Here is a 21,057-nt window from a genome sequence, read left to right on the forward strand (position 1 = left end):
GGAGCCTTGGGCTTCCTGTTGCAGACAGGACTACAGGACAAAGCCAAGATCCCTTTGTAAGGTTCAGTCCTTGCTGGCCTTCCCCAGTCTGATCGAATTTTTTTAAAGTGATCTAAGGGTCTTTCTTTCTCAAAGGTACACTTTGTGATAGTTACCTGCAGATGAACATCAATTATCTGAATGTTCATAGCTTGGGGCTCCAAACTCCAACCATCTTGCCTTCAGTTTGAAAAGCTGAAAAAACTGCAAATTTGCATGCAATCAAACAAGGCCATTATCAGTCCCAGTGGAGACAGGCATTGGGTTTTGTTGGCATAACAAGGAAACATTCATTCCCTAGGTATAACTAACAAGTAATATGACCTGGCTCTCAGAATGAGCTGACTCCTTGCTATGCCCTAGAAAGACAGAAAGCACCAGAGGGTTGGGGAAGTAGATTCTGGAGGCTGTCAAGGAAAGTTTCAAGGTCAGTGTGAACTCCCACACAAAACACTCTGCCACCCCGAACGGCCCTTGGAGCCACAACAGCAGACACTCATAAATGATGCGGCATTTACCAGACCGGACTTCTGAACCTGGGGGCCCTGCGGGACTACACAGGCTGTGAACAATTCAAAAGGCCATATTAATCACCTCTTGGGAGACGAGTCATTGTGCTTCCGAGCCAGTGAAAAAACCTCGGTTGTGGGCAAACACTATCTGATTGGCTGAGGACAAAGCAGTCTTCTCTTCTCAGGTAAACAACCTGAAACCGGGAGTTCTGAGCTGGGAGGAGCTTGTGCCTCTGGGAGGTCTCACGTGTTTGTGGCCTCAGCCCAACACGAAGAACCTGGTACCCAGTTTTTTCAGCTGTTCCCAGGACACTGGTTAGTAAGGACTTTAATGCACCCAGGAGACAAAGCGAGTAGCTAGGGTACAGCTGGAGCCTCAGAAAGGTGCCCCGGGAGGCAAACAAGGCTTCTCTTGCATTCTCCCTCCCCTTTGTCTCCAGGAGACAAACCTCCCAGTCTCCCTCCTCAACCCGACCTCAGGATCAGGTTCTCCACTTGAGAATCCTGTCTTTACCTCCCACTCAGTATGGATAAATGAGATCATTCCTTTGTATTCCGAGGGTAGGGAACATTTGTCAAGTACTTACTCTGCACTGGGCTATGTTTGCAAAATAAAATGAGACCAAAAATAATAAATCTTTGAAGCCATGTTTCAGTATTAGAGGTACCTCCACAGCCACCCTGACCCCACCTCACCCACTGAAGCACCCACCACCTCCCCTTCATCTGCCTGGAGAACACTGAAGGGCAGCCGAGGGTGACCCACCTGCCAACAGCACAACTGTATGTTTGGGAAAAAAAGAAAGAAATTATGAAAATCTGTCCTCTTTTTTCTTTTTTTTTGTTTGAGATGGAGTCTCGCTGTGTCACCCAGGCTGGAGTGCAGTAGTGCAATCTCGGCTCACTGCAAGCTCTGCCTCCCAGGTTCATGCCATTCTCCTGCCTCAGCCTCCCGAGTAGCTGGGACTACAGGCACCTGCCACCACACCTGGCTAATTTTTTGTATTTTTAGTAGAGACGGGGTTTCACCATGTTAGCCAGGATGGTCTCAATCTCCTGACCTCGTGATCCACCCACCTCAGCCTCCCAAAGTGCTGGGATTACAGGCGTGAGCCACCGTGCCCGGCCGAAAATCTGTCCTCTCTTACACAATACCTCGAGTGCACTCAATTTGAAATCCATCTGGGTTCACAAACCGCTCTAGAAGGAAGGCTGGTTCCTGTCACTTACCCACTTGGAGGTGTGGAGATATCTGGGCACCTTGTTTTCCTTCTAACCTCAAGCTGTGCTCGGCTACCCAAAAGGAATGGGTTATAGTTGCGAGGGGGAAGGAGAAAAAGAATGCGTGTTGAAACTTGTGCTTAAAGCCCGGCGTGTGCTTGTCCTGCTTCTGCCGGCTCCCATTCTCAAGGCAGGGGCACTCCAGCGGAAAACACGGGACAGTGGGAGAATATGGGGAGCCAGCTAACAACAACTCCTCCTCCTCCTCCTCCTCCTCCTTCTCGTCCTCCTCCTCCTCCTCATCATCATCATGGCTCTTAACAGTTGAGCCCCACTGGGCTAAACTCTATACATATTATCCCTCTCTTACCTTTTCAGTGACCCAGCAGGTACTATTTCTGCTTTACAAATGTGGAAACTGAGGCTCTGCAAAGGCACTTGTCTTGCCCAGATTCACAAAGCCAGTAAGTGAGCTGACTCAAACCCACACCCTTAGCACCACGCTCACGCCGAGGCCCAGGGTGAGAGACACTCAAGGGGCTATCAAGGGTATGGTTCAGGCATTTAGAACTTTGACTGCAAAGAAGAGGAAACTCCTCCCTTCCACAAGACAGCACCCTCCCCTCACGTGCTAGAACTCAGTCCGCCTTTGTTAGTGCCGGTACTGGGCTAGGATCCAGGTGATGCAGACTTTGATGGACTAACCAGAGGACCTAGCACCACCAAAGTCCAAGGGAAAAAGTCTTTTGGAATGTACTTGTTTATAAGGTGGAGATTGTCTGTTCACAATTTAGGCAGCTGGATTTAGCATCAACTCAGAATATTTTTCTGGGTCTGACATTCTCCTTGGTCAGAGGTCAAATTGTTCCATGAAGATGAAGACTCACTGAATTAATAACCAGCTAAAACGAAGCTTCCTCGTGTTACCGTGATGGGGGGTGGGTGGGAGGAGGGAGATGTGGGTGTGTTTTATTTTGTTTCTGGAATAGGAGAGGGCTGGGTTTCTCTACTTATGTACTTACTTAGATAAATCAGATTTCTACAAGTAAAGGAGTCTGGATTATTGTGGAGGTCACAATCCCTAGATAAATTACACCACCAATTTCCATTCATCCACCCATCCAATATTTATTAAGACCTATTATATACTGTCTCTATAGCCCAATCCACAGAAACACATAATGAAAGAGTTTTGGTTTTGGTTTTGTTTTATAGACAGGGTCTCACTCTGTTGCCCAGGCTGGAGTGCAGTGGTGCAATTGTAGCTCACTGCAGCCTCTACCTCCTGGGCTCAAGTGATCCTCCTGACTCAGCCTCCTGAGCAGCTGGGTCTACAGGTATGAGCCACCGCACCAGGCTAATAAAGGGTTTTAGAACTTAAAGAAACCTTAAGAACCTGCAAAGCCCAACTCCCCAAGAGAAACACAAGGGCCCACTGGTAGAAATAACTTGAGTAGCCTGAACCAATGTGACCCGAACAGGAAAGGGAGGGAGCCAGGCAGGGCATGAGTCCTGGCTCTGCACCTTGCTAGCTGGCGACTTGGGGCAGCTACTTAACCTCCTATGGCTTGTTTTCTCATGGGATGAACAAAATCACAGAGCACCTGCCCTACTGCTCTGCTGATGGGCTGCGCACTCGGGTGACTGCAGCATGCACTCACGCTCTGCAGAGTGGCCCATGCCCAGACAAAGGCAACTGTGGCCTGTCGCGTCCATCATGACCATGGTCCTGGGTATAGGCAGGGGCCACCCTCTTTGTGCATGTTTGTAGGTTTTCAGAAAAAAATAAAATCCTAAGCCCCCCTACCGACTAAACGGACTCCCCCTTGGCCAAAGGGACCCCAGAGAAATATTAAAACTGAGTTCCTGGCCATGATAGGATGGGAGGTTGAACACCCCTCCTTATACCCTCTCCCTCGCTAACCACCATTAGACTTTCTTTCCTAAGAGTTAAACAGAACTGGCCCAGCAGGGACTCCCTTCCCTTTTTGCGGGTTTTTTTTTTTCTTTTGAGACAGGGTCTCACATTTTCACCCAGGCTGGAGTGTAGTGATGCAATCTCAACTCACTGCAGCTTCTGCCTCCCAGGTTCAAGCCATCTTCCCACCTCAGCCCTCCCATTAGCTGGGATTACTGGTGCACCACCATGCCCAGCTAGTATGTGTTTGTCTGTGTGTGTGTGTGTGCACGCGCGTGTGCCACCATGCCCAGCTAGTGTGTGTGCGTGCGTGCATGCCACCATGCCCAGCTAGTTAGTGAGTGAGTGAGAGTGTGTGTGTGTGTGTGTGTGTGTGTGTGTGTGTGTGTGTGTGTGTGTGTGTGTGCTGACCAGCATTCCTTCCTGGTAAGAGACCACCAACCACGGAATGGTTCTGGCTGATTTACAGAGGCTGTGCACAAGATGCCTCTGTGTCCTCCATTTCACCTTTTGACCTATAGAGGCTAATTTTAATGCATTTAAATGTTAAGTCTCCATCCCAAAATGAATGTGGGACATATGTAACATGTATGTTTGCTTACTGTATATGCAAATGCCTCCTCCCATTATGAATATTCATAGCTCCTCCCATAACCTGTTAAATATGTACACTGAGCCAACCCTTTTGGAATAAGTTTCTATTCCACCCCTTTCTCCCTTGAAGTGCCTGCTTTCAGTTTCTACCAGAGGCTACACTTCCCAGCCTGCAGGATGGCCAGCCTGCAGGCCACAACTCTGAATAAGAAAAGCTCTCCTCTCTAAGTTTATGAACCTTGTGATTCTTCAGTTGACATTTTTGACAGTGTGGTTGCTCTCTGGATAAGGGCAGGAAGGTGGTGCTGTCAAGCAGAGCAGCTTTGTAGAGGGTGTCGGGGCACAGCGTAGGTGTCGGGGCACAGCGTAGGTGCCCATTCAGAGCCCGAGGACTCATCCACCAGCTGTCCAGTGTTGGCTGCCAAGGGCTCACCACTGAGTCATTCCTCAGGAATGGCCCTCAGCCCAAGGGAGTTCCACCTCCTTACCCAGGGCAGCCCACATCCAGTGACCAACAGGGGCCACTCCACCTTCCAGAGCTCCTTGAAGGATCAGCTGAGGCCCCGCTGAAGCTCTATCAGTGCTATCACAAGCAGTTCAACTTCTCCCACTGCCCAACTCTGCTTCTCTCACTTCCTAACCAAGGCTGCTCGAGAGCTCCCCAGTAAACCTCCTGCATACAAACGTCCCGCCCAGGGAGGCTGACTCACAGCACCACCAAGGAACCTTGCTCCTCAGATGATGAGTCTCTGAGCACAATCCCAAAAGGGCAACAACCCCTGTTCCCCACAGGAGTCCAGCTTCACAGCTGCACCTACCTCCTCAGCCCAAGTCAGCCTGTTCCACAGTGGGGAGGGAATTACCCATTGAGTGAGGTCTTGCCCCACATAAAGCATTCTTGCCCCAAACACCCACACACAGAGAGGCACAAAGACCATCTTTACCTGTGGCAGGTGAAGGCAGAGTGTGGTCTGGCCACCCCTCCCCACCTCCCCTTCTCTCCAGTGTGAGGTCCTGGTGAGTGAGATCATGAATGGCAACTCTGATGCAGACAGAGCTGCTACAAGGCTACCTTGTAAGTGGCAACAGGGCTCTGTGGAAGGGGTGGGGCAGTCCTCCCAGCCTTGTCAGGGTTGGCAGGCATTAGCACACACAGGAGAGGAGAAGGCCATGTGACCACAGAGGCAGAAATTGAAGTCATGAGCCCAAAGACAGGGAATGCCGCTGCCACCCAAAAATGACGGAAGCAAGGACCTAGAGCCTCTGGAAGGAGCAAAGCCAGCCAACACCTTGATCTCAGCCCAGGGAAACTAAATTTGGACCTCCAGCCTCCAGAACTGGGAGAAAATAAATGCCTACTGTTTTAAGCCATTGAGTATGAGATAATTTGTTACAGCAGCTTCAGGAAGCCATCCTGACATCCAAGCTATGTCACTTCAGGCACAGCCTCTCACTCAGACTCCCTTCAGTGTCTGCAACTATAAAGTAGTTTTCCTTCCAGCTGAGCTGGTATAAGAGGAGGCTTTCCCTCCTATTTCTAGTTTACAACAGCCACTTAAGAAAGAAGTGGCTTTTTTCTATCGGTAAAATTTCAGACACCTAGCAGGTGATGATGGAGATATTTGGGGACAAAAGAGGGCACTGGAGTCTAAAACAGAAAAGCATAGTTACTTATTGCTATGGTTCAACTGTCTACGTCCTCCAAAATCCATGTGTTGGAACCTAAACCCCAAAGTGACGCTATTAAAAGGTGGCGCCTTTTAGGAAGTGATGAAGTCCTGAGGGCTCTGCCTTCGTGAATGGATTAGTGCTCTGATAAAAGAGGCAGATGAGAGCACTTCAGTGTACTTTTTTTCTTTTTTTTTAATTGAGACAGAGTCTGGCTCTGTCACCCAGGATGGAGTGCAGTGGCACGATCTCAGTTCACTGAAACCTCCACCTCCCAGGTTCAAGCAATTCTCCTGCCTCAGCCTCCTGAGTAGCTGGGATTATAGGCACATGCCACCATGCCCAGCTAATTTTTTTTTTTTTTTTTTTTTTGAGACAGAGTCTCACTCTGTCGCCCAGGCTGGAGTGCTAAGCTCCGCCTCCTGGGTTCACGTCATTCTCCTGCCTCAGTCTCCCGAGTAGCTGGGACTACAGGCGCCCAGATGGTTTCGATCTCCTGATCTCGTGATCCACCCACCTTGGCCTCCCAAAGTGCTGGGATTACAGGAATGAGCCACAGGACCCGGCTTCAGGTCACAGCAAGAAGGTCCTTGCAAGACACTGAATGCTGGTACCTTGATTTTGGGCTGCCTAGCCTCCAGAACTATAAAAGATAATTTATGTTCCTTAAAATTACCCAGTCTCAGGCATTTGTTATAGCAGCACAAATGGACTGAGACACTACACCAAGTCATTAGCCCAGACTCATTTTTAGAGCTTCAGGCTCGAGATGTATTAGAATTAGACTCTAGCCACAGTTAGTTTTGGAGGAAATGGCCCTGCGTAAGTCCATTCCTCCCCCAGATGGAAGGATATGAGACTGAGTCCTTCTGTCTTTTAGATCCAGAAATCACACACCATCCAGGTGCACCCAGGCCAGTCCACACCCACCTTCTGCATTTCCCCAGAGGAGATGTTGCATGAGCTGCTGGGAGGAGATGCCCGTTCACACCACTGTTCTCCACTGCTCAGAGCCCATGAGTTGGCAAAGTCATAAGGGTCCGAGGTCAAGGTCCCTGTGGAGGAAAGTTTCAGGAAAGTAATGCTTCAGTTATGCCTGTCCCAGAACTTCTGGGTGAAAATTCTAGGTCTGCTGGTGGTTTTGTGTGTTTTGTTTTAATTTTTTATAAAGAGACAGGGTCTGGCTATGTTTCCCAGGCTGGAGTGCAGCGGCTATTCACAAGTGCAATCCCACTACTGAGCAGCACAGGAGTTTTGACTTGACCCATCTCTGGCTTGGCTGGTTCACCCCTCCTCAGGCAACCCAGTTGTCCCCCACTCCCCAGGAGGCCCCCATATTGATGCATAGTGCTCTGCAGCCCAGAACACCTGGGCTCAAGCAATCCTCCCCCATCAGCCTCCCCAGTAGCTGGGAATGCAGGTGTGGGCCACCACACCAGGCTCTAGGTCTGTTTTTACCTGAATCAAACTTGTATTAAATTAAACAATAAGCATGCATACAGTGCTCAACCTAACACCACAGGGCATGGGCATCAGAGCTCAGCAGACGCTTGGAGACTGAAGAAGGATGGATGGATAGATGGATGGATGGATGGATGGATGGATGGATGGATGGATGGATGGATGGACGGTTACAATTACGATGAGGGAGATGAGGTGAAAGATGATGAGGAAATGCCCTTTCCCTGTCACTTCTCCATGCCTTCATGTGCCTTTCTCCCTCCATGTGGAATGTTCTCCTCCCCCTTATTGCCTTAACTATCTCCATTCCTTCTTCAAGATGCAGCTCAAGAACCACTGCCTCCAGGTGTGGTCCTGGTGAGTGAATGGTCCTTTCTGAACAGCTCTACTCCCATTTCGCACCCCAGCCTGTATGGGTGTCACCTTCCCTGTGCCCCATGGCACCTGGGCATCCCTCTACCAAAACACTCATCACCTTTGGTTTGTATTCTTTTTGCTCATATTCATCTCCCATTCAACTGTGAGCTCCTTACTTAAGGGTATGGGCTGTGTCTCTTATCTCTAAATTCTTATACAGTGGATTACGAATGCTCAAAATATTTTTGCAGAATGAAGGTAAGAATATGACATGGAACCTAAGCCCAGTCCCCAAGTCACTGCATACTCCAGGCTCTCACAGCATCTGTGCTTTAGTACTTATAGTGCTCATGCTACTGTCAGCTACTCACAATAGACTGTGAGGGCCTCGTGGACCTACATGGCCTAGTGCAAAGTAATTGCGTAATCTGTATTACAAAGGCAGTATGAGACTACTACCTTTGCAGTATTGGGATGAGCAGTTTTCTGCATAGCCAGGCCTGGAAGAGAGAAGTAGGTCTCAAGGTCAAGTAATGCATTTGCAAATAGTAAATAAACTGTCCCCAGGGAAGGAAAATATAAATGAGACCTTGGAATATAGTCAGTTGGTATGTGGGGGTTTGATAGGCAGAAAAAGATCCCCCCCACACCAAAGATATATTCACTTCCTAATCCCTGGAGCATGTAAATATTATCTCATATGGCAAAAGATGTGCTTGAGTTAGGGATCTTGAGAGGAAGAGTTTCTCTTGGATTACTTGGGTAAGCCTAAATGCAATCACCTGTATCCTTATAAGAGATGGGTAGAGGCCGGGCACGGTGGCTGACACCTGTAATCCAGCACTTTGGGAGGCCAAGGAGGGTGGATCACGAGGTCAGGAGATCAAGACCATCCTGGCCAAGATGGTGAAACCCCGTCTCTACTAAAAATACAAAAAAATTAGCCAGGCATGGTGGCACGTGCCTGTAATCCCAGTTACTCGGGAGGCTGAGGCAGGAGAATTGCTTGAACCTGGAAGGCGAAGACTACAGTGAGCCGAGAATGCACCACTGCACTCCAGCCTGGTGACAGAGCATGACTCCATCCCAAAACAAAAGACAAAACAAAACAAAACAAAACAAAAAAAGACATGGGCAGAGGGAGACGGGCAAAGACACACACACAGGAGAAAGCAATGTGAAGACAGAGGCAGAGACTGGAATGATGTAGCCATGAGTCAGGTATGACTGCAGATGGTAGAAGAGGCCAGGAACAGATGCTTCCCGAGAGCTTCTGGAGGGAGTTTTGGCCCTCCCAACACCTTGATTGCAAACTTCTGACCTCCAGAACCATGAAAGAATAAATTTCAGTTGTTTCAAGCCACCGAGTTTGTGGTAATGTGTTGGTAGCCACAGGAAACTGATACATGGGAGAAGCCAAAGGCAAGAGAACTTAAATTTGTGGCATGTTGACTGTGTGCCAGACATTGTGACAGGTACTCTCTGGGTACTCAGTCACTCCATATCACACAGGTTTTGACACTTTCTAATAAACCACATTAAGGAAGGGACATAGAGGAGGCTTCATGTTGTTGCCTGGGCAAAGCCCCTCTGTGACCCTGTGTGATCTGGGCTGATCCCAATTCCTTATGTGCAAATAAGGAGTTAGACTAGATGACTTCTAGGGTCGTTTTTAGCCCTGACCATCTATGAAGTGAAACTTTACAGGCTAGATCTGAAACGAGACATACACTGTCCAAGAGATGGAATTACAAATATTCTTGCTTAGAGAAAACTCTCTGAAAGCCTAAGTAAAAGCCAAGCTGAGCAGATTCCTAGAAGTCAGGAAGGAAAGTTAACTGTTTGGGGACAAACATTGTTGAGTCTTTAACAACCAAAGACAACTAAACCCCCAGTCCTTTGAGGATGGTTTCTGAAATATTACCAGAGTCCTGAATTTTTACCAACAAACACCAACACAGTATAGACTTCATTTTCAGTTTTTAAACCTTAAAGCCTGGGAATATGAAAGATATTTTAGGGCTGGGACTTCCATTTCTAGCAACATGACAGATTAGAAAACACTGAAACACGTGCCACTACAATGAACAAATGCCCTATTGAATTCATGACTAATCTCACAAAAAAGTATAAGAAATTTCAAAAGACAAGCCTGGCGCAGTGGTTCATGCTTGTAATCCCAGCACTTTGGGAGGCCGAGGCGGGCGGATCACGAGGTCGGGAGATCGAGACCATCCTGGCTAACATGGTGAAACCCCATCTCTACTAAAAATAAACAAAAATTAGCCAGGTGTGGTGGCAGGCACCTGTAGTCCCAGCTACTCGGGAGGCTGAGGCAGGAGAATGGTGTGAACCTGGGAGGCGGACCTTGCAGTGAGCCAAGATGGCACCACTGCACTCCAGCATGGGCAACAGAGACACCATCTCAAAAAAAAAGAAATTTCAAAAGACAAAAAGAAAGAGGGGGAAAGGATAAGGAGAGAAAAAGGAAAAACAGACCTGGTGAGTGTTGAAGTCGGGGCAAGGGTGGCAATCTTGCCAACGAAGGGGTGTGGGTTTAACAGCTTTGGATCTCCATGATGTAGGAAGGAGATCCTGAGACCCCCATTGTGAAGCTGGGACCCTTAAAGGATGACAACACCCTCCATGAGAAAGTTCACAAGAAAAAAAATCTACTCTAAGAAACAATGGGCTGGCCACAGTGGCTCACATCTATAATTCTTGCACTTTGGGAGGCCGAGGCAGGTGGATCACTTGAGGTCAAGAGTTCAAGATCAGCCTGTCCAACATGGTGAAACCCTGTTTCTACTAAAACTACAAAAATTAGCCAGGCGTGGGGGTGGATGCCTGTAATCCCAGCTACTCAGGAGGCTGAGGCAGAAGAACCACTTGAACTGGGCAGAGGAGGTTGCAGTGAGCCCCGATCGCGCCACTGCACTCCAGCCTGGGGGACAGAGCAAGACTCTATCTCAAAAAAAAAAAAAAAAAAAAAAACCAAGGAAGCAAAAGTTTGTTAACCTAGTCTAAGTTCTGGATAAGTGAGGAAAAACGTCTCCCTCAATATCTGTACTTGTGGGAAAGCCCTCATATGGATTTGAGATTCCTATTTATACTTCTTATAAGATTTAGTAACTCCATATTGAAATATTAACACAAAACCCTTCAAAGATGAGTTCACAATCGAAAATTATGAAACATGATGAAACAGTCCACTCTAAGCAAGAGTCAAAAGACACAGAAATAATCTACAACTATCTGATCTTTGACAAACCTGAGAAAAATAAGCAATGGGGAAGGGATTCCCTATTTAATAAATGGTGCTGGGAAAACTGGCTAGCCATATGTAGAAAGCTGAAACTGGATCCCTTCCTTACACCTTATACAAAAATTAATTCAAGATGGATTAAAGACTTAAACGTTAGACCTAAAACCATAAAAACCCTAGAAGAAAACCTAGGCATTACCATTCAGGACATAGGCATGGGCAAGAACTTCATGTCTAAAACACCAAAAGCAATGGCAACGAAAGCCAAAATTGACAAATGGGATCTAATTAAACTAAAGAGCTTCTGCACAGCAAAAGAAACTACCATCAGAGTGAACAGGCAACCTACAAAATGGGAGAAAATTTTCACAACCTACTCATCTGACAAAGGGCTAATATCCAGAATCTACAATGAACTCAAACAAATTTACAAGAAAAAAACAAACAACCCCGTCAAAAAGTGGGTGAAGGACATGAGCAGACACTTCTCAAAAGAAGACATTTATGCAGCCAAAAAACACATGAAAAAATGCTCATCATCACTGGCCATCAGAGAAATGCAAATCAAAACCACATGAGATACCATCTCACACCAGTTAGAATGGCAATCATTAAAAAGTCAGGAAACAACAGGTGCTGGAGAGGATGTGGAGAAATAGGAACACTTTTACACTGTTGGTGGGACTGTAAACTAGTTCAACCATTGTGGAAGTCAGTGTGGTGATTCCTCAGGGATCTAGAACTAGAAATACCATTTGACCCAGCCATCCCATTACTGGGTATATACCCAAAGTACTACAAATCATGCTGCTATAAAGACACATGCACACGTGTGTTTATTGCGGCACTATTCACAATAGCAAAGACTTGGAACCAACCCAAATGTCCAACAATGATAGACTGGATTAAGAAAATGTGGCACATATACACCATGGAATACTATGCAGCCATAAAAAAGGATGAGTTCATGTCCTTTGTAGGGACATGGATGAAATTGGAAATCATCATTCTCAGTAAACTATTGCAAGGACAAAAAACCAAACACCGCATGTTCTCACTCATAGATGGGAATTGAGCAATGAGAACACATGGACACAGGAAGGGGAACATCACACTCTGGGGACTGTTGTGGGGTTGGGAGAGTGGGGAGGGATAGCATTAGGAGATATACCTAATGCTAAATGACGAGTTAATGGGTGCAGCACACCAGCATGGCACATGTATACATATGTAACTAACCTGCACATTGTGCACATGTACCCTAAAACTTAAAGCATAATAATAATAATAAAGAAAGACACAGAAATAGCAAGAGTAGAGCTTCAAAAACTTCAGATAATAAAATTTCTATATAAAGGTTATAAAACAAACATATTTAAAATTATTGTTGTAAAGAAGAAATGGAAATTTCATAAAAGAACAAGATAATAAGAAAAATAATAGAGTAGAAAAAGAGCCAGGTTTACCTTCTAAAATTACAAATATAGTTAATGAAATGAACAGAAACCTCTATTGATGGTGGTTAGACATCACCTGCCGATTAGACACAGTTGAGAGAGAATTAGTGGATTAGAAGATAGATCTAAGTAGAGATGAGCTGATAATCCCCTTCTCCAGGAAAAAAGCAAAGCTCTGATTTGTAGCATTTGCTGGTTTCCATCGTGTAAATACTCCTACCATGGCCAGTTTCAAGCTACCAATGTGATATCAGTGAATGTGGAGCTGGGAAGAGATACACACAATCAATTCTCACCAACCAGCATGAGCACAACACTTGAGCCAAGCAAACGACCTAAAAAAGCAACACAGAGGGATAAAGAGCTTAAAAAAAAAAAATGGAAGTAAGGTAAAGATTAAAAAAGGGATGAAATAAAAATATCCAGGCCAGGCGCGGTGGCTCACGCCTGTAATCTCAGCATTTTGGGAGGCCGAGGAGGGCAGATCACGACGTCAGGAGATTGAGACCAGCCTGGCCGATATGGTGAAACCCCGTCTCTATTAAAAATACAAAAAATTAGCCAGGCATGGTGGCGGGCGCCTGTAGTCCCAGTTATTCAGGAGGCTGAGGCAGGACAATTGCTTGAACCCGGCAGGCGGAGGTTGCTGTGAGCCGAGACACGCCGCTGCACTCCAGCCTAGGCGACAGAGTGAGACTCCATCTCAAAAAGAAAAAAATAATAATAATAAAAATAAAGTAATCCAACATATTTCTCACAGTTCCCAAAGGAGAAAAAAATGACTGAAAATGTTCTAAATCTGATGAAAGATAGGAAGCATCAGGGCCAGGCGTGGTGGCTCATGCCTGTAATCCCAGCACTTTGGCTTTTTAGAAAATTAAGCTTTTGGGTCATGTCCAAATGACAGACAGAACATGACATTTATGGGGGAGGGCGGAATTTTCTCTCTTAAAACTAGGTGTTAGTTAAAAACCAGAAGAAGGCACAGATTCTGCATGTGCTCAGAAAGGGAAGGGCTGATTCTTTTATTCAATCAACAAATATTTATTGAACAGCAGCTGCATTAAAAATGTTCAAAACCATTACAGTCAGCTGGGCAAGGTGGCTCACACCTGTAATCCCAGCACTTCGGGAGGCCGAGGTGGGCGGACCACTTGAGGTCAGGAGTTTGAGACCAGCTTGGTCAACATGGTGAAACCCTGTCTCTAATAAACATACAAAAATTAGCTGCGCATGGTGATGTGTGCCTGTAATCCCAGCTACTCCAGAGGCTGAGGCAGGAGAATAGCTTGAACCTGGGAGGTGGAGGTTGCAGTGAGCCGAGATTGCTCTGCTGCACTCCAGACTGGGCTACACAGTAAGACTGTCTCAAAAAAACAAAAACAGGCAGAGCACGTTGGCTCACACCTGTAATCCCAGCACTGTGGGAGGCCGAGGCAGGCGGATCACGAGGTCAAGAGATCCAGACCATCCTGGCCAACACGGTGAAACCCCGTCTCTACTAAAAATACAAAAATTAGCCAGGCGTGGTGGCAGGCGCCTGTAGTCCCAGCTACTCAGGAGGCTGAGGCAGGAGAATGGCATGAACCTGGGAGGTGGACCTTGCAGTGAGCCGAGATTGTGCCACTGCACCCAGCCTGGGTGACTGAGCGAGACTCCGTCTCAAAAAAAAAAAAAAATTAAAAATAGAATTGCCATGCTAATGGATCAGAATTCATATTGTTAAAATGACCATACTGCCCAAAGCAATCTACAGATTCAATGTAATCCTTATCAAAGTACCAATGTCATTTTTCACAGAATTAGAAAATGCAATCTTAAAATTCATATGGAACTGAAAAACAGACCGAATAGCCAAAGCAATCCTGAACAAAAAGAACAAAGCTGGAGGCATCACAATATGTGACTTCAAAATATATTACAAGAATATAGTAATCAAACAGTATGGTACTGGTATAAAAATATACACATAGATCGGCCAGGCGTGGTGGCTCATGCCTGTAATCCCAGCACTTTGGGAGGCCAAGGTGGGTGGATCACAAGGTCAGGAGATTGAGACCATCCCTGGCTAACACGGTGAAACCCCATCTCTACTAAAAATACAAAAAATTAGCCGGGTGTGGTGGTGGGCACCTGTAGTCCCAGCTACTAGGGAGGCTGAGGCAGGAGAATGGCATGAACCCAGGAGGCGGAGCTTGCAGTGAGCCAATCCACGCCACTGCACTCCAGCCTGGGCAACAGAGCGAGACTCCGTCTCAAAAAATATATATATATATGTGTGTATATATACATATATATGTGTGTGTGTGTATACACGTGTGTGTATACACGTGTGTGTATACACACGTGTGTGTATACACACGTGTGTATATACATACACATATATGTGTATATACACATATGTGTGTATATACATATATGTGTATACACACACGTATATATATACACACATATGTGTATATACACATATATGTATACACACACACACACACACACACACACACACACACACACAGATCAATGGAATAGAATAGACACCCAGAGATAGAGCCAGTTGATATTTGACAAAGCTGACAAGAATATATACTAGGGAAAGGACACCCTCTTCAACAAATGTTGCTGGGAAAACTGGATTGCCATATGCAGAAGAATGAAACTGGACCCCTATCTCTCACCATATACAAAAAAAAATCAACTCAAGATGTATTAAAGACTTGAATGTAAGGTCTGAAACTATAAAAATCCTAGAAAAAAACCTTGGGAAAACTGTACTGGACATTGGCCTAGGCAAGGAATTTCTGACTAAGACTTCAAAAACACAGGCAACAAAAACAAAAATAGATAAATGAGACTTCATTAAACTAAAAATCTTCTGCACAGCAAAAGAAATCATCAACAGAGTGAAGAGACAGCTTGCAGAATGGAAGAAAATATTTGCAAACTTTTTCATCCAGCAAGAGACTAGTATCCAGAATACACAAGGAACTCAAACAACTCAACAACAATGAAAAATAACAAATAATATCAGCAAGAAGTGGGCAAAGGACATGAGTAGACATTTTTCAAAGGAAGACATACAAATATCTGACAGGAATGTGAAAAAAATGGTCAACATAACTTGTCATGAGAGAAATGCAAATTAAAACCACAATGAGATATCATCTTACCCTAGTCACAACGGTTATTATTAAAAAGACAGAAAATAACAGATGTTGGCAAGGATGAGGAAAAAGGGGAACTCTTACACACTGTTGGTGGGAATGTAAATGAGTACAACCTCTATGGAAAACAGTATGCAGATTTTTCAAAGAACTTTAAAAAAAAAAAAAATAGGACTGCCAGGCGCGGTGGCTCACACCTGTAATCCCAGCACTTTGGGAGGCTGAGGCGGGCGTATCACGAGGTCAGGAGTTTGAGACCAGCCTGGCCAACATGGTGAAACCCCGCCTCTACTAAAAAAATACAAAAGAAAAAAAAATGAGCCGGACGTGGTGACATGCGCCTGTAGTCCCAGCTACTCAGGAGTCTGAGGCAGGAGAATTGCTTGAACCCGGGAACTGGAGGTTGCAGTGAGCTGAGATCAGGCCACTGCACTCCAGCCTGGGCAACAGAGTGAGACTCTGTCTCGGAAAAAAAAAAAATATATAGGACTACCATTCAATCCAGCAATCCCACTACTGGATATCTACCCAAAGGAAAAGAAATCAATATATCAAAAATATACCTGCACTAGTATATTTATTGTGCATTATTCACAATAGCAAAGACATGGTATGAACCTAAATGCCCATCAACAGATGATTAGATGAAGAAAATGTGGTACATATACACAATGGAAGACTATTTGGCCATAAGAATGAAATCGCATCTTTTGCAGCAACATGGGTGGGATTGGAGGTCATTATGTTAAGTGAAACAAACCACATAAAGTCAAATATGACATGTTCTCACCAAAAAGTGGTTACTAAAAGATGTGTACACACAGACAGAAAGAGTAGAATGATAGATATTGGAGACTCAGAAAGGTGAGAGAGAGTGGGAGTGGGGCAGATGATGAGAAATTACTTAATGGGTACAAAGTATATTGTACCCTAAAAGTCCTGACTTGACCACTACACAATCTGTGCATGTAACAAAATTGCGCTTGTACCCCATAAATTTATACAATTTTTTTTTTGAGACAGAGTCTCGCTTTGTCACCCAGGCTAGAGTGCAGTGGGGCGATCTCGGCTCATTGCAACCTCCGTCCCCTGGGTTCAAGCAACTCTCCTGCCTCAGCCTCCCTAGTAGCTAGGATTACAGGCATGTGCTACCACCCCCAGCTAATTTTTATATTTTTAGTAGAGATGGGGTTTCACATGTTGGCCAGGCTGGTCTTGAACTTCTGACCTCAAATGATCCATCCACCTCGGCCTCCTGAAGTGCTGGGATTACAGGATTACAGGCGTGGGCCACCACGCCCGGCCTTATACAAATTTTTAAAAAGAAAAAATTTAAAAAATGTTTAAGAAGAAATTGCATATCAAATTTTTCTCCTTTTAAGTAAAGAGAAATAGATATTGTAAAAGGAATATTTTAAAATTTCACATACCTGAAAAATAAATCATGAAATATATGAAGAAAATAGAATTGCCATTAGAAATCATCCAGGAATTCTGCCTCTGGGAATATACTCAAAAGAATTGAGCCGGACGCGGTGGTTCATGCCTGTAATCCCAGCACTCTGGGAGGCCAAGGTGGGCAGATCAAGAGGTCAAGAGATGGAGACCCTCCTGGCCAACATGGTGAAACCCCATCTCTACTAAAAATACAAAAAAAAAAAAATTAGCTGTGCGTGGTGGCATGCGCCTGTAGTCCCAGCTACTCAGGAGGCTGAGGCAGGAGAATCACTTGAACCCGGGAGGTGGAGGTTGCAGTAAGCCGAGATCAGGCCACTGCACTTCAGCCTGGCGACAGAGGGAAACTCCATCTCAAAAAAAATAAAGAAGAATTGAAAGCAGGGTTTTAAAGAGTTATTTGTACACCTATACTCATAGCAGCTTTATTCACTATAGGCAAAACGTGGAAGCAATCTAAGTGTCTACTGATGGATAAATGGATAAGCAAAGTACGTACGGTCTGTATGCACAATGAAATTTTTTTTCTTTTCCTCAAATTCCTCTGATACAATGGAATATTATTCATCCTTAAAAAGGAAGAAAATTCTGACATACACCACAACATGAATGAACCTTGAGGACATTATGCAAAGTGAAATAAGCCAGCCACAAAAAGACAAATGCTGTATGATTCCACTTATATGAGATACTTAGAGTAGTCAAAATCATAGACAGAAAGTAAAATGATGGTTTCCAGGAGCCCAGAGGGAAGAATGGGAAGTTATTGTGTAATGAATATAAAGTTTCAGTTCTGCAAGATGAAAAGAGTTCTGGAGATGGATGGTGGTGATGGTTGTACAACTACATGAATGTACCTGATACCACTGAACTATATACATAAAAATGGTTAAGATAATAAATTTTGGCCAGGCGCGGTGGCTCACGCCTGTAATCCCAGCACTTTGGGAGGCTAAGCGGAGGCGGATCACCTGAGGTCAGGAGTTCAAGAGCAGCCTGGCCAACATGGTGAAACCCCGTCTCTACTAAAAATACAAAAATTAGCTGGACATAGTAGCGGACACCTGTAATCCCAGCTACTAGGGAAGCTGAGACTGGAGAATTGCTTCAGCCCGGGAGGCGGAGGTTGGAGTGAGCTGAGATCACACCATTGCACTGCAGCCTGGGCAACAAGAGTGAAACTCCGACTCAAAAAAAAAAAAAAAAAAAAAAAAGATAGTAAATTTTATGTTACATGTATCATAGCACAATAAAAAATGCGGCGGGGTGTAGAAATCTATACACAAATGTTTACACTGGCTTTGTTCATAATTTTCCATAATTGGAAACAACAAAGCATCCTTCAACTGGTGAATGGGTAAACAAATTGTGGTAACTACTCCTTAGCAATAAATAGGAACAAACTACTGATACATGCACCAATATGGATTAACCTCTCACGGACCATGTTAAATGAAAGAAGCCAGACTTACAAGACTAAATACTGCAAATAGGGTATGATTACAGTCATATGAATTTTGGAAATATCAAGACTACAGAAACAGATAAAAGATCAGTGGCCACCAGGAGCTAGGAGTTGGGGGAAGATTTGACTACAAAGGAGCATGGTGATTTTGAGGGTGACAAAACTGTTCTATAGTTTGATTGTGGTGGTTACATGACTCTACGCTTTTGCGAAAACTCAGAGAACTGTATGTGAAAGGGTGAATTTTACTGTCTGTAAATTAACCTCAATAAATCTGACTTTTGAAAGAACAATAATAAAATAGAGCCATGTGGTGCTTCCATGACACACATCTGAAACAAAATCACATAGAAAGGTTGAAAGAATGGAAAAAGATACATCAAACAAACACTAACCAAAAGAAAGGTGGAATAGCTATACTAATATCAGACAGATTGAAGGCAAAAAGCACTGGTAAAAATGAGAGTCATTACATTAAAGGAACAATTCCCTAGAAAGATTCAATATATATATATATATATTTTTTGAGACGGAGTCTCACTCTGTCGCCCAGGCTGGAGTGCAGTGGTGCGATTTCAGCTCACTGCAAGCTCCGCCTCCAAGGTTCATGCCATTCTCCTGCCTCAGCTTCCCGAGTAGCTGGGACTACAGGCACCTGCCACCACACCTGGCTCATTTTTTGTATTTTTAGTAGAGACGGGGTTTCACCGTGGTAGCCAGGATAGTCTCCATCTCCTGACCTCATGATCCGCCCACTTCGGCCTCCCAAAGTGCTGGGATGACAGGCTTGAGCCACCGCACCCAGCCGAAAGATTCAGTATTTCTAAACACTAATAACAAAGGCTCAAGATATACAAAGCAGGCCAGGCACGGTGACTCACGCCTGTAATCCCAGCACTTTGGGAGGCAGAGGCGGAGAGATCACTTGAGGTCAGGAGTTCAAGACTAGCCTGGCCAACATGCTGAAACCTCATCTCTACTAAAAATACAAAAATTAGCCAGGCGTGGTGACACCTGGATGTAGTCCCAGCTACTCAGGAGGCTGAGGTAGAAGAATCGCTTGAATCTGGGAGGTGGAGGCTGTAGTGAGCTGAGATCTCACCACTGCAATCCGGCCTGGGTGACAGAGCAAGACTCTGTCTTTAAAAAAAAAAAAAAAGAAAGAAAGAAAGAAAGAAATATATACACACACACACACACACACACACACACACACAAAGCAAAATTTGACAGAATTACATGAAGAAAGTGACAAATTCACCACCATTATAGAAAAATTTAGCTCTTTTAGTAATGGGTCATTAATAAGCAGACAAGAAGTAGTACACATACAGAAGATCTGGAAAACACAATTAAAAAGCTTAATTCAAGAAGTATAGGTAGAGTCCTGCACCAATCAGAGAATACATTATTTTTGGGCATACATAGAACACTTGTAAAAAAAAAAAAAAAGGCTGCAAACAAGTCTACAATTTTTTAACTAGGCCACAATTTTTTAACCAAATTTAGAAATCAATTTAGTTACAAATAGGTAACTTTAAAAACTTCAGGCCAGGTACAGTGGCTCACACCTGTAAGCCCAGCACTTTGGGAGGCCGAGGGGGGCAGATCACGAGGTCAGGAGTTGGAGACCACCCTGGCTAACACAGTGAAACCCTGTCTCTACTAAAAATACAAAAAATTAGCCAGGCATGGTGGCGGGTGCCTGTAGTCCCAGCTACTCGGAAGGCTGAGGCAGGAGAATGGCGTGAACCCAGGAGGCAGAGCTTGCAGTGAGCCGAGATCGCGCCACTGCACTCCAGCCTGGGTGACAGAGCGAGACTCCGTCTCAAAAAAAAAAAAAAAAAAATTCAAACTTTTGAATTTGTAAATGTATATAGGTTCAGAAAGAGCTCAAAATGGAAGTTAGAAAATTTAAAACATGAAATATGTTACATATCAAAATTGGTACAGCTGGGCACAGTAACACACACCTATAATTCCACTAGGAAGGCTGAGGCAAGAGGATTCCTTGAGCCCAAGAGTTCAAGATCAGTTTGGGCAACTTAGCAAGACCTTATCTCTAAATACACACACACAGAGACACACAGACACACACACACACGTGTATATATATACATATATATACACACACATATATAATTACATATATACACACATATACAGTATATATACATATTTACACAAACACACACACATATATAGAGTGCAACTAAAGTGATATTTAGAGGGAAATTTATAGCCCTAAATGTACATATCAGACAATAAAATCAGTGCTGGAGAAAACCAAAAAATAAACTATCATGCTATTTTCCAATATGGTACATTCCAATGAAAGGAAGAGTCAATTGTTTCTCTGCATGTTTACTCTCTAATCAGAAAGTGGTTGGGTCATAAGGAAGAAAGATAACATATGTAAGTGTTTAGCTTTGGCAAGGGAACATCACTAATTGAATGTTTATGTAATTGAAATTAAAGAAGATT

The 21,057-nt window shown here is 44.6% G+C and overlaps 1 protein-coding gene and 1 pseudogene across 2 annotated transcripts in view, besides 2 other annotated features; both read right to left on the reverse strand.

Annotated features, from left to right (window-relative positions):
* The window catches only part of VWF (von Willebrand factor), a 175,794-nt gene that overhangs the window by 139,701 nt on the left and 15,036 nt on the right, over positions 1–21,057 (reverse strand). For both annotated transcript variants that reach the window (NM_000552.5, XM_047429501.1), the window contains exon 6: positions 6,883–7,007. In NM_000552.5, coding sequence (NP_000543.3) covers positions 6,883–7,007 — 125 coding nt within the window. The remainder of the gene's footprint in view (positions 1–6,882; positions 7,008–21,057) is intronic.
* Positions 4,665–5,261: an enhancer, noted in NCBI's record as "H3K27ac-H3K4me1 hESC enhancer chr12:6202408-6203004 (GRCh37/hg19 assembly coordinates)". NCBI's record gives its function as "activates a minimal SCP1, AML or CMV promoter by ChIP-STARR-seq in primed H9 embryonic stem cells {active_cell/tissue: H9 hESC(primed)}" and the evidence as "EXISTENCE:reporter gene assay evidence [ECO:0000049][PMID:30033119]".
* Positions 5,262–5,857: an enhancer, noted in NCBI's record as "H3K27ac-H3K4me1 hESC enhancer chr12:6203005-6203600 (GRCh37/hg19 assembly coordinates)". NCBI's record gives its function as "activates a minimal SCP1, AML or CMV promoter by ChIP-STARR-seq in primed H9 embryonic stem cells {active_cell/tissue: H9 hESC(primed)}" and the evidence as "EXISTENCE:reporter gene assay evidence [ECO:0000049][PMID:30033119]".
* RN7SL69P (RNA, 7SL, cytoplasmic 69, pseudogene) lies at positions 7,122–7,393 on the reverse strand (annotated as a pseudogene).

This window comes from Homo sapiens, chromosome 12 (genome assembly GCF_000001405.40).
Source record: "Homo sapiens chromosome 12, GRCh38.p14 Primary Assembly".
Taxonomy (NCBI): Eukaryota; Metazoa; Chordata; class Mammalia; order Primates; family Hominidae; genus Homo; species Homo sapiens.